General features: G+C 38.0%; 1 long non-coding RNA gene across 1 annotated transcript in view; it reads left to right on the top strand.

Moving 5' to 3' along the window:
- The window catches only part of LINC00351 (long intergenic non-protein coding RNA 351), a 181,060-nt gene extending 175,978 nt beyond the window's left edge, over positions 1–5,082 (top strand). The window contains exons 3-4 of the long non-coding RNA NR_046989.1: positions 2,658–2,750; positions 4,796–5,082. This is a non-coding gene — a long non-coding RNA (long intergenic non-protein coding RNA 351). The remainder of the gene's footprint in view (positions 1–2,657; positions 2,751–4,795) is intronic.
- The last annotated feature ends 8,682 nt before the right edge of the window (positions 5,083–13,764 follow it).

The raw sequence follows: 13,764 nt of genomic DNA on the forward strand, positions 1-13,764 counted from the left end.
AATTATTTAAAGCCTTATATGTTTTACCAATATTTATCCAAAAGCAGCCCAACTCTTAATGCTATCTGATCAACACAATTTCACAAACATGAGGTTTATGCATACGGTAGGCTAGGCAACTAGGCAATTTTACATATATTTTCCTAAGAAGATATGACTATTGTTTTTGTTTCTGCCCTAGAGGAAACCTTGAGGTTTCTTGTCTCTGAAAAGGAAAAATTCAGAGCAAAATTTCAATAAGAGCAGCAATCATAAATGTCCCAATAGTTACAGAAATCTAAGTCAATACAAATAACATACCATTGCAGTTTTCAAAGAACAGTGCTTCTGCTGTGTCTTATGCTGTTGTCCCATGACAGCAAAAAAGTGATGTAAAATGTGGATCAAATATCAGTTAATAAAATTTATTTTGAATATAGTAATGCTGAGCTTTGGAAATAGAAATACTGTTGGAAATTCAGCTTTAGTTTTTGAAAACATGACAGGGCATTTAATTATTTTATTAAATGTTCATTTTGAAAACATATAGTTGTAATCCATAATAATTTAAGCTTCAACATTACGTGGGAGATTTTTCATATAAATATATTAAGGTTAAATTAAACATTGCCTTAGACCAGAAATAAACTTTCCATCAAACAAATGCAAAAAAAGAAAGATGTTTTCTTCTTATGTTTTCCAAAAGCATTTTTTTTGCTCTCTGTGACTATTTTGCTGTAGAAAGGGCCCAAACCTTATTGTTCAGATAGATGTTCTGAACAGATTTTTAAAATGTTTGTTATAAAGATGGACAATTTTCTTGTAAGTATAATAAATTTTGACAAGTATCCTCTGTTTCTCTGGAACACATAATTCACTTTTTATTTCTCTCATTGTCTACTTTTATAATTATTATCAACGAACTTCTTTAGTCCACAAAATATGGCTATGTCAAATAAGAGCAAAGATTATAGAACCAAAATTCTAATTAATATTTTAAAAGTCACATTTTGCATGAAATATTTGTGTAGGTTAAATAACTTGAACATATCATTCTACATAAAAACGTACGTTTCTCTAAATAGTCATTGAATAATACCACTTGGAGGGATGATAAATAATTTTCAGCAATTATGTTCATAATATGTCACTAATTTCTGGATTATCTAAACACTCTTGGGATGGGCAGGATTCTAACATGGACTCAAGAATCCTGCCCTCTGGTGTACTACTCACTGTGTATAATTACTTCCCCTGAGGGGAGAGCAAAATCTGTGAATATGATGGGGTAACCATTCTCCCTTTAACAACATTGCATAGCAAAGGTGAAGGGATGTTGCAGATGTAATTCATATCCCTAATCAGTTGACTTTAAATTAATCAAAAAGTGGATTAGCATGAGGTGGCCCAATCTAATCAGATGAGCAGTGCAAAGAAGTCCAAAGACTTTTCTGTATTACACTGTTGCTTTTCTCTGTTAAACATGAATAAAGACAACAACCATTGCATTTCATAAACTACCAAATTGCTGACTTGCTCTGAACTTACTACTAATAAAGACATCATTACAAACTTAATCAACATTATTTATTTTGGGGTTTGGTGTATGTACATCTTATTTCAGTTTTTGCAACTTCTTTAGAAATGTTATTTAATGGCCATGTCTCCATCAACCCATCTTTTTAGAAGGAATTTGTAGTCTTGTAATCTCTTCTAAACAACTGGATAAAATTTAAATGCCTGTGGAACACTAGGGGCTTCTTCAGACACAGCAAAACCTCCCACATTAATTTCCCAATGTATCTTTCAGGCCTCTAAGTCTTCATATTGTAACATTTTCAGCATATAGTTCTAAAAGAGTTTTCTGAAAAATTATATGCCTGGTGCTATCTAAAGTGTAATGCATATTAACTGCATACTAACTTAATTTATGCTCACAAACAAGGCCAATATTTTGCAAGTATGCTCCATACGGCTCACACCTGGTAATAAACTTTTGAAATACTTTTGTTCCACTATACACTCCACTTCTACCCTGGCCATACCAGCTTCTTCCGTGCATTTCCCTGTACCTCAGTATGTTCTAGCAATTAAAGAGTTGATATCCTGCCTAGCAGGAAGCTCACAGGACCACATCAAACAGAGTAGCAAGGGCAGTTGGCTGTACTGGCTGTTAGGTACCTCTGAGCTAAGTATTATTATGCTCTTTTTATATTTGTGTCAGTGTGGATACTGAGAGGTTAAGCAATTTGCCCAAGGAGAGTTGGACTTTACAGCCAAGCAGCTTGACTCAGAAACAAACTCAAAGTGATTCTGTATGGTCCTAGGTATTATAAATTAAACGGAAAGTCATTGCATTTACACTTGTGTTTTAGCAAATAATATTCAAGGAAACTACAATGGAGTGATACAGACTCTTTATATTTCTACTACATTCTACATTTATGAATATATATGTATACATATTATGTATGTAATAAATTTAAGTCCTATTTTGAAATAAGAGATTTAATGTAACCAAATATATTTTATGTAAAATATAGACATACTGAAGTGACCAAAAAACAGATAGTTATATCTTTTAAAGAAACAAGACATCAGGAAAAAAAAATCTTTACATTTCAAAAGTATATCTAAGTGAGTTTCAGCCACAATTGTGCTTTGATCTTGTTTTCCAGATGAAAACTAACGTGGGGTCGAGGCACCAGCCCGCTGTCGGCTGGCACGACCACTCCTGCGGCCTGGGCTTCAGATTCTCTCTCTAGCTGCAGGTTAGTGATCATTTGAGCTAATTTAAGTAGGACTGTTCCAGAGGTGACCTTTCCAGTCTCCTATAATTTATATCATTTGCTGGCAATTGGAAAAGCAGCTTCAATAACATCAGCCTCCCAAGAAGCTAGTGGTTCTGCTGGACCTCCTGGCCAGACAATAGATATCAGTGAAGATCCTGTGCCGAGAAAAATCATGCAAGAAGATACAGGAAGGGATTAAAAACAAAATGTCCTATAAAAGTTCTTACCTGTAATATCAAAAGTTAAAAAGAACTCTTTAAATCTGTTTGCATAAGGCATTACATAAGGTAATTTATTTACAGGAGGCTCAGCCAAAAGTAGGAAAGCAGAAAAAAATATAGCAACAGGGATTCCTTTTTCTTCTTTATTTCAAAACTTGTATAAATAACACTAACAAGGTTTTATCTCTTGTGCCAGAGACACAAGGACATGAATAAATGAGTTAGTATCACTTTGTACAAACTAAGGTGCCTTTTCTTAACAAATTCAAAACGTGTTCTAAATAGGCATTGCTTTTGTGATTGAACACTTTCCTCTAAGAATAAAATTGATAAGCGTATTGCATCTATTTTAATAAAATGGAGCTTTAAGGTTTTCTTTAACATAGTGGGATCTTTGTCATTTCGCTTAGTGGTTTCAAATCAGGCTCAAAGTATAGTGTTCTATACAGAAATGGTAACATGATATATAACATTGTTAAATCAAGTTTAGCCTAAAGCTGCCTCCTCTCATATTTGAAGTTTGGACTAAAGGTTTCTCTGTACATCCTGAAATATAACAAGTAGATGTGTAAACAGACTGTAGCCCACACTTGTACCAAGCCCCGAGTTTTGTTTAATCAAATGTAACCAACTGTTCGAACCATGTTCAAATCAGGCAAATACCAACCTGTAACCAATCTGGCTTTTTCTGTACCTCACTTGCATTTTCTATACATCACTTTCCTTTTTCTGTTCATAAATCTTCTTTTACCATGTGGCTATGCTGGCATCTCTGAGCATACTCTGGTTTGGGAGGCTGCCAAATTTATGAATTGTTCATTGCTCAATGAAACTCTTTTAAATTTAATATGGCTGAAGTTTTTTTTTTTCAATCACCATGAAATACATGAGACAACTCTGAATAAAAGAAAATCTCCCATATTTTTATCACTTTTAATATATAACATTTATATAATATGTATAGTTGAATTGTGACTTGCCTTTAATTTTTAAATTTAAGAATACACACTTAAAATGACATACTACATATGACACTATATTTTATTTTTAGAAATAAAACTTTTTAAGTTACATTTTATGAAAAAAGATAATTCAATTTAGATATGTATGTTTATATACACATATATATTCGGTTTCAGCATCTTTGTTACGAATAAGGTCACTTTTTGAATCATTTAACAATTTTTCTAGGGCATATCACTTTCACTTCCATCTAAATTGTTTGAAATAAAACACCTGTTTAAAATCCATGAGTGATGATGTCACTGGGACCTTTCTTTCATGCTACAAGTACCTATTTGCATAACTAGAACTACTTATTGTATTTTGGTGAATAACACTTACCATGGTGGTTGATAAAGTGATCTTTATGAGTTTTGTTTACTATAACATCCAATACAATTATGAAGCCATACCACAGGAATAATTAAACTTGTGTCAAATCTCTTTGCCTCCTTTACCCACTTTATTCAGTGACTACCATTGGTATTGAAAACTGGCATTGATTGGGTTACTTTCTGTTTTTTAAAAAACAGTAGTGTGTGGTTCAAAATAAAGTAATGGAACCATAGCCCCATTCTATGACAACAGAAGGAAGGCTAGGAAGGCTCCCATACTGAATGTTGGCTAAACTCCGAATTGTCAAAAGACATCTATTTTTTTAAATCTAGCCCATGCTAGTGTTAGTAAGATGTGTCATTTAAGTGGAGAGTAAAAATTGGGGTGTGTGTATACACATATACCCACAATTATACATTATTAATTACATTAATAACATTATTTAACTTTACATTTTTCCCACAGGCATTAAATTATGATGAAGGCCACAGAAAAATGATTAAGGTCAAAGTCTAGAATCAATTGTCAGCCTATGTTATGGACATAACATTTATGTACCATTGGGTCATGAGGGTGGAGCGCTCATGAATGGAATTAGCGACCTTATGAAAGAGAGACTAGAGAGCTGTCTCATCCCTTCTGCTGTGTGAGGACCTGGTGAAAAGATGTCAGCTATGAAACAGAAAGCGAGGCCTCAGCAGACACTACATCTTTTGGTGCCTTGATCTTGGACTTTCCAGCCTCCAGAACTGTGAGTAATAAATTTCTGTTGTTTATAATCTACCCAGTCTATGGTATTTTGTTATGGCAGTCCAAATGAACTAAGGTATTCTCTAAAGTGTTTCTGCCAAGACTTCTCCTTAGTGGGGACCTTGGAAATGCTTTTCCTCTCTTTGACTCAGTACTCAGTACTTTTTCAGGCTTAAGCCCTTCCTCTCTCTTTTCCCTTGACACCACCTTCAAGTCAATAGAAGAGCAGAGCCTTCTGTCTGAGGCTCTCTGTGCACTGAAAAGCCCCCCACATCTGCCCTAATCCACTAGCAATGCCCGCCTGCTGCTGTTCCATGGGGGGAAACTGGAACACTAAGAGAGCTGATGCTTTCTCTTGTTTCATTGTTCCCTTATACAATCACAATTAAGTGATTAAAGGCTTGACTATTACTTTCATTTTTACTTCTCTTAATTAAACACTGTACATCTGGCAGCTCAACTGTCTCCAGCTCAGCTCAGCTGTTGACAATTGATGAGGAGACAGAGGAGAAAGAGATGCTATTGAAAGGTGACAGATCAAAGAGTGAGAGATTTAATGAGAATCATTAAAACAAGTAAATAAAAAGTAATAGATTAAAATATATGTGACACCCAACACTATTTTCATAATATGAATGCAATAAAAGAATCATAGACCTAGATTTCAGAGATATTTCTTGTGTTCGTTTACCATGAACTGTGCAAAGTGATGATAGGGTTCTGATATACATCTGTTTCAATTAAACAGTGTATAGTGCAATGCAAGTACTGCTTGTATCCTCTGTGTCACTTTAGGACTCATTGGATAGGAAAATATTCATGGGAAAAATAATTTGGAAAATAAACAAATTGAAGATTCAAGTAGGGGTATGATTAGTGCTTGTTTTCCTATAACGGCGCATTTAAACACAGCATATTCTATTCATGACAGTATCAAAATTTGCAGCACTTAAACAATAAGAGAAAATCTCCAGTGAAAGGAGACACAATTTTGTACAACTTTATAAAATAGGTAAAATAGATAATGCAAAACAGAAGACAGGCATATGAGTATTTTAATTCCTTGTCTATATTCACCAAAGTTGATGGCATACGACATAGTAAATAGGGAGTAAGAGCTTTGACCCCTCAAGGTTCTTTAAATCCTGAAGGCATTCCACTTTTGATGGGCTTGAGTTCAGAGCAATTTGACATGCTCTCTCTGTGATTAGAACTGCTGTAGTTAGCTTGAGAGCAGCAGAAAAAGCTGTCAGATTAATAAGCGAGAAAATGCTGCTTAAAGCAAGATTTTAGAGTCTGCTTCTCACCTCATTTGCCAACTCTACCTCAGAGACCACGTATTTGAACAGCTCTTACCTTAAATACTATGCATTCCCTATGTTCGTTTTAATTACGAGCTGCCTTACAGGAGACTGAATTCCCAGTCTTCGTCATGATAACTACCACAGCTTCAAATTGTTTCTGCTATCTCAAACACAGGACAAACCTTATTCCTATTTGATTAAGATATTTTAAACACTCCCCTGTCTGCCCCCCAAAACAGCTATTCATCAACTATTGCAGGACTTGAGATTTTTTTGAAAGAAATATATCATGATTCTACTTTGAAGTATGAGGTTAAATAAACCCAACCAATACTGTAATTGAGAAAACTGAAAAACCTAATATCATTAGTGAAAGTTGAGTTATTACAGTATTGATATAAGAAAAAATAGGTATATTAGAGTGAGATTAAATGCACATATAATGTCTATGTCCAAAGTCCAATAAGAGATAAATTCTTTTTTTTTTTTTTCTGTTTTTCTTTTTTTTTGAGATGGAGTCTCACTCTGTCACCCAGGCTGGAGTGCAGTGGTGCGATCTCGGCTCTTGAAGCGTATGAATTAGTATTTGATCAACCATACTAAATGCCAGGCACTACCTTAAATGATAGATTATGTGTTACCTCAAAAATCAACTAAGATGACATAATTAATATGGATGTTTGAACGAGGGTCCTGAGATGCCCACCAAGGGCATCCAGGTCACACCCTTAGCATGTACCTTCTATTAGAACTTGGTTTGCTTTTACAGCACTTGTTTTTTGACCACATAGACAGACCACTGGTAACTGGCAGGTAGTTTAGTATTTTAGGCTCCTCTGGATCATTTCACAGTGTGCATCCACTGTGCTCCGTACTGAGTGTGGACACAGAGCTGCAATGTGCATACCCGTGTGTGCTGCCTAGTCACTGCACATTTCCTAGAGACTGTGTAACATGATGGTTTGGGTATGACAATAAAAACCGTAAGAAAACAGAGGTTAGATCCAGATGAAATTGGCTTGCTAAAAAGGTAGTTTTCAGTGTCACATAGAGTAATTATTTTGGCCTTTCACCATGTTAAGATTATAAATTCTCAGGGATAAGGTCAGAGATTCCTGCAGTGTATTAGTCTGTCATCACATTGCTATAAAAACTACCTGAGACTGGATACTTTATGAAGAAAAGAGGTTTAACTGACTCACAGTTCTGCAGCTTAACAGGAATCATGACCAGGAGGCCTCAGGAAACTTACAATCATGGCAGAAGGTTAAGGGGTAGCAAGCACCTTCTTCACATGGCAAAAGGAGAGAGAGAGAGCAAAGGGGGAAGTGCCACACTCTTTTAAGCCATCAAATCTCATGAGAACTCTTTCACTGTCACAAGAACAGCAAAGGGGAAATCCGCTCCCATGATTCAGTCACGTCCCACCAGGCCCCTCCTCCAATTTGACATTAGATTTGAGCAGGCACACAAATCCAAACCATATCATTCTTCCCCTAGCCTCTCCTAAATATCATGTTCTTCTCACATTGCAAAATACAACTACCCCTTCTCAATAGCCCCCAAGTCTTAACTCATTTCAGCATTAACTCAAAAGTCCACAGTCCAAAGTCTCATCTGAGACAAGGCAAGTCCCTACAACCTATGAGTATGTAAAATAAAAAATAAAAAAAAATTAAAAAAAACAAGTTAGTTACTTCCAAGATACAATAGGGGTATAGGCACTGGGTAAACACTCTCATTCGAAATGGGAGCGACTGGCCAAAACAAAGGGGCTACCATCTCCATGCAAGTCTGAAACCAAGAAGGATAATCATTAATCTTAAAGCTCCAAAATAATCTCCTTTGGCTCCATGTCTCATATCCAGGGCATGCTGATGCAGGAGGTGGGCTCCCAAGACCTTGGGCACTCTATCTCTGTAGCTCTGCAGGGTACAGCCCTCTCAACTTTTTTCACAGGCTGGTGTTGAGTGCCTGCGTCTTCCAGGCACACGGTAAAAGCTGTCAGTGGATCTGCCATTCTAGTGTCTGAAAGACAATGGCCCTCTTCTCACATCTGGGGGCTGCAACCACACATTTTCCCTCCACACTTCTCTAGTAGAAGTTCTCCATGAAGGCTCTGACCCAGCAGCAGACATCTGCCTGGACATCCAGGCATGTCCATACATCCTCTGAAATCTAGGAATAGGTTACCAAACCTCACCTCTTGCCTTCTGTGCAACCATAGGCCCAACACCCATGGAAGCCACGAAGGCTTGCAGCTTACCCTCTCTGAAACCATGCCCTGAGCTGTACCTTGGCCCCTTTTAGCCATGGTTGGAGCTGGAGCAACGAGGATGCGGGGTGCCATGTCCTAAGGCTGCACAGAACAGCTGGGCCCTGGGCCTGGCCCATGAAACTATTTTTCCCTGCTAGACTTTTGGGCCTGTGATGGAAGGGGCTGCTGTGAAGGTCTGTGAAATGCCCTGGAGGCATTTTCCCCATTTTTTTGGCTATTAACATTCAGTTCCTCTTTACTTATGCAAATGTCTACAGCAGGCTTGAATTTCTCCCTAGAAAATGAGGTTTTATTTTCTACCACATGGCTGGCTCCAAATTTTCCAAACTTTTGTGCTCTGCTTCCATTTAAATATAAGTTCCAGTTTCAGATAATCTTACTTCATGCAAAGGAACGTACACTTTTATAAATTTCACAAAATTTACTCTTTTGTAAATACACTTTATTTATATCTTGAATGCTTTGTAGCTTAGAAATTTTTTCTGCCGGATACCCAAATCATTTCTCTCAAGTTGAAAGTTCCACAGATCTCTAGGGCAGAGGCAAAATGCCACCACTCTCTTTGCTAAAGCATAGCAAGAGTTACCTTTACTCTAGTTACCAATAAATTCCTCATCTTCATCTGAAACCACCTCAGCCTGAACTTCATTGTCCATATCACTATCAGCATTTGGTCAAAACCATTCAACAAGTCTCTAGGAAGTTTCAAACTTTCTGACATCTTCCTGTCTTCTTCTGAGCCCTCCAAACTGTTCAAATCTCTGCCAGTTACCCAGTTCCAAAGTCACTTCCACATTTTCAGGTATCTTTATAGCAATACCCCACTCCTGGTACCAATTTTCTGTGTTAGTCCATTCTCATACTGCTATAAAGAGCTACCTGAGACTAGGTAATTTTTGAAGAAAAGAGGTTTAATTGACTCACAATTCTGCATGCTTAACAGGAACCATGACTAGGAGGCCTCAGGAAACTTACAATCATTGTGGAAAGTTAAGGGGAAGTAAGCACCTTTCTCACATGGTGGCAGGGGAGAGAGAGAGAAAGCTAAGAAGGAAGTGGCACATACTTTTAAACCATCAGATCTTGCAATAACTCACTCACTATCATGAGAAGAGCAAGGGTGAAATCCACCCCCATAATCCAATCACCTCCCACTAGGCCTCTCCTTTAATTTGACATGAGATTTGGATGGATACACAAACCCAAACCATATCGCTTAGCCTGGCAGGATCTCCTCTCGAAAGGCCTTAAACCATCAGCACCCAATACCAGTTTATCCATCATGAATGAGAGCTGGGGCATGCTCACAGACTACTCTCCAGCCTGACAAATCCTGACCTGAAATTGCTTATTTTAAGTGTATTGAAAAAAATATTTCCTACGTATATTGTAGTGTGCTCATTTTTACCATCCTCTGACTCTATGTTCTATTTTATTGCGTATAAAAACAAATGTTTTTGTAAAAAAATTACCTGTTGATTTAAGTCTTAAAGTGCAAATAGAATAAGACCCTTCTCTAGAAAGAGATGGCCAGAAACCCGCTGTGATTATTCACAGCAGAGCATGGAGTCCTATGAGAAATCTCTCCCTGCCCAGCAGTGTGAGAGTAGGGTCCAGGAGATACACTGCACCAGCCAAGAAGCACGAAACACAGGAATGGAAGTGGAGTGTCTTCCTGGAAGACATATGTTCCTTTTTTCTCAATTCACTAGACAGGTGGGGGCAGTGATAACTTAATTGAAAGCAGAAGGGGAGAAGCTGCCTCAGGCAGCTTGCACTCTCGGAAAGCACTTGGAATCATAGCAGAGAAAGACTTTGATTGATTTAATTACCACTCAAGTGTAGAGAGGTTGGAGCCCACAGGCATACTCCAAGCATGCACAAGTTCCTTCTGTTAGATAAAATTTATGCTATTGAGAAAGAATAAAGCTGGAAGGATGAGAAAGAATCTGGAAGTATTGTCTTCTAAAGAGGAAATTGCTATTCTTCTAGTTCTATGCATCTATGCAAAAACGGAATGCTATAGTGTTACCAGCATCTGCTTTATTTTCTCCTTTTCACCTCCAGAGGATGGGGCAAGGCAATTCCTCAAACAGGAGGTGCCTGGTAACTGTTTCTGCCCAAGTAATTGTAATTGATGGTTCATACTATAGAATACTTACTATGTGCCAAATATTGTTCTAAGATGCATATTACATTTATCAAGTAATAACCCTTACTACAACTGGATATTTAAGGTTGGTACTATTATGATCCCCATTTTGCAGAGGAAGAAACTGAGAATTCCTGATTTCTCAGAAGCAGAAGAGCCAGCATTGGAATACAGGCAGTCTGGCTTTAGAATCCATGTTTCTAATTACTACAGTATACTGCCTCTGAATTATAGCATGACAAATGATAAAAGAGAAGGGGTGAGAGAGATGGGGCAAATGACAAAGGCTACAAGGTAGTACATACTCAGAAACTTCTATTTCATGTTAGGTATCCCTAGGATGACTGATAGCAACTAAGAACAATGTTTACAAACCTAAGGAATGGTGATGGGTCACAACTGATTTGATTAAATAAAATTGAATTCCACTAGATTGTGTCCCTAATAGAAGACCTGTAGATTTCACCCCTAGCCAGTGTTAGTGGCACCTGGGAACTTACATAGTTATCACCGAATGAAGACATACCCTCTGCCCTTGTTATGCAGTATAAGGGTCCCAGGGAACAAGTAATCATCAAGAAATAGTGATGCTTGATGAAATATGTAATCTATATTATTTTGGTAAGATTAAATCCCATCTCTTGGTAGGGGATTACACATTTCTCTAGCTTTGCGTGTTCTTAGGAGTGAAAAGTGAATTGAGTGAGGATTTATTACTGACAGGGCCTCCTCCTTATTGGAAAGTCCAGATAGATATTTTATGGGAACTCCAGTCACTGTAACCCAGTGAATTAGCATCATTTAAAATATTCCTATCTGGGTGACAGATACACATTAGTTACAGGAGAGCAATATCAATACAGCTCAAAAAACAGATCTGGAGTGCCTAAGGAAGCAGAGTATTCATTAATTAATGGCTCCTGCTATGGTTAGAAAAGTATGGGGAAGAAATAGCTGGCATCCTATATTGGTGTGACAGTCCATTGGAAAAGAACAGGTGAAGAAATCTTTATAGGTTTACTAGATATTACCAGTCAAACTAATACCACCACCCCCAAAATTCCCATGTATAAAAAGGTATTGCTGATAAACGTCTGCTTAAGATCATATTTTCCAGGAGGCAAACTCTGTGTGGAGATTAGTGTCTAGGAAAATTACTAGGAAGAAAGCAGATTTTGAAAAAGGGAAATCTTATGCTGTGGCAAGGTCACAATAATGATTTACTTGGCTGGCCTCGGTGGCTCATACCTGTAATCCCAGCACTTTGGGAGGCCGAGGCAGGTAGATCACCTGATGTCAGGAGTTCAAGACCAGCCTGGGTAACATGGTGAAACCCTGTCTCTGCTAAAAATACAAACATTAGCCAGGCATGGTGGCGGGTGCCTGTAGTTCCAGCTACTTGGGAGGCTGAGGCAGGAGAATTGCTTGAACCTGGAAGGCGGAGGTTGCAGTGAGCTGAGATTGCGCCACTGCACTCCAGCCTGGGTGACAGAGCTAGGCTCTGTCAAGAGAGAAAGAAAGAGAGAAAAAGAGAGGGAGGGAGGGAGGAAGGAAGGAAGGAAGGAAGGAAAGAAGGAAGGGAGGGAGGGAGGGAGGAAGGAAGGAAGGAAGGAAGGGAGGGAAGGAAAGGATGATTTACTTGATCATATATAGGTAGCTGTGAAGGGCATAGCCCTTCACAGTTGTCCTAAATTACAGAGAGACAGATGGGGCTTCATAGCTTTGCAGTGGCCTGTGACTGGGTGTGAGGTACCCTGTGAAAAGGATATGTTATTGACTAGTAACTCTTTTGAGCTGAGGCAGTTCCCTTCGGTTCTCAGTGGATGTCTGAACAACATAGCACAACATTCACGCAATGTCATAGTTTTGGACGGGCCATAACACAGTAGTGCAAGTCAAGGCCCAAATATAAGTATAGGTAAATAGTTATAGAAATTGCAATGGATCTGGCAGAATGCTCTGTCAAAAGCTGATTCATCTGTGGGGCCACACTCTGGAGCTTGGGGCTTTGGATAGAAATAGAACAAATCTCCCGACATGTTAAATGCAAATACCCACCAAAGGGGCAGTTCTCCACCTGCCTTTTGGAATTGCAAAGCAGATATTATTACAGAGATGTCTGAAATTACAACCTGGCCTCACATCTAATAGGCTCAGAATGGCTGGGTGCTATCTTATTGTGGACTAGAAAACACTTTGTGCCACTAACCAAGAATAAAGCAATCACAGCAGCAGCCCTCCAAGCCAGCAAGAAACCTTCATGATTATAGCATCATAAAACTGCTCCCAAGGGCACAAAGGAAGCCCAGGTTTAAAAAGTGGACTACATGACGTCTTTACCATCAAGGCCAGGTGAAAATATGCCTTGACCTGACTGCACTGGATTCTTTCTCTGGATAGAGAAAGCTTGTGCCTGCATCAACTGTAATTATTATCCTCACCAATCTAACTGTACACCCATAAGCATAAACCCAAATGATCACCAGTGAAAAAATAGTAATTTTACAGCCAAAGCTATACAGTATTAGGCAAAAACGGGCCATGTGCATTGGACGTCCCAGTTACTTAATAACCACTAAATTTTGAAATAGACTGATAGTAATTCATGTGAAAATTACCATGCCAATGTTTATCTATCTAGCTAAAAAAATCGACACAGCCACACAATGTGGTTCTGTCTAAAAGGAAAAAAATATTTATTTAATGTTCCTTCAATAATGGAAGAAGTAAGCATGGTGTTAATTTTACACAAACTCCCTGAGGTACAAGCAGAAGATTCACATATTATATCAGTATTCACCACAGTGAATGTCAGTATTCACCACAGTGCAAGTAACAGAAGTTGTCTCACTCTGCAGATGACCTTGATTCATGCTAATACTATAATTTAAATATCCATGATTTCCTTTAAAAAGAGATATTACTGATTGGGAGACTTATTCATTTATAC

The sequence above is a fragment of the Homo sapiens genome, chromosome 13 (assembly GCF_000001405.40).
Source record: "Homo sapiens chromosome 13, GRCh38.p14 Primary Assembly".
NCBI classification, from domain to species: domain Eukaryota; kingdom Metazoa; phylum Chordata; class Mammalia; order Primates; family Hominidae; genus Homo; species Homo sapiens.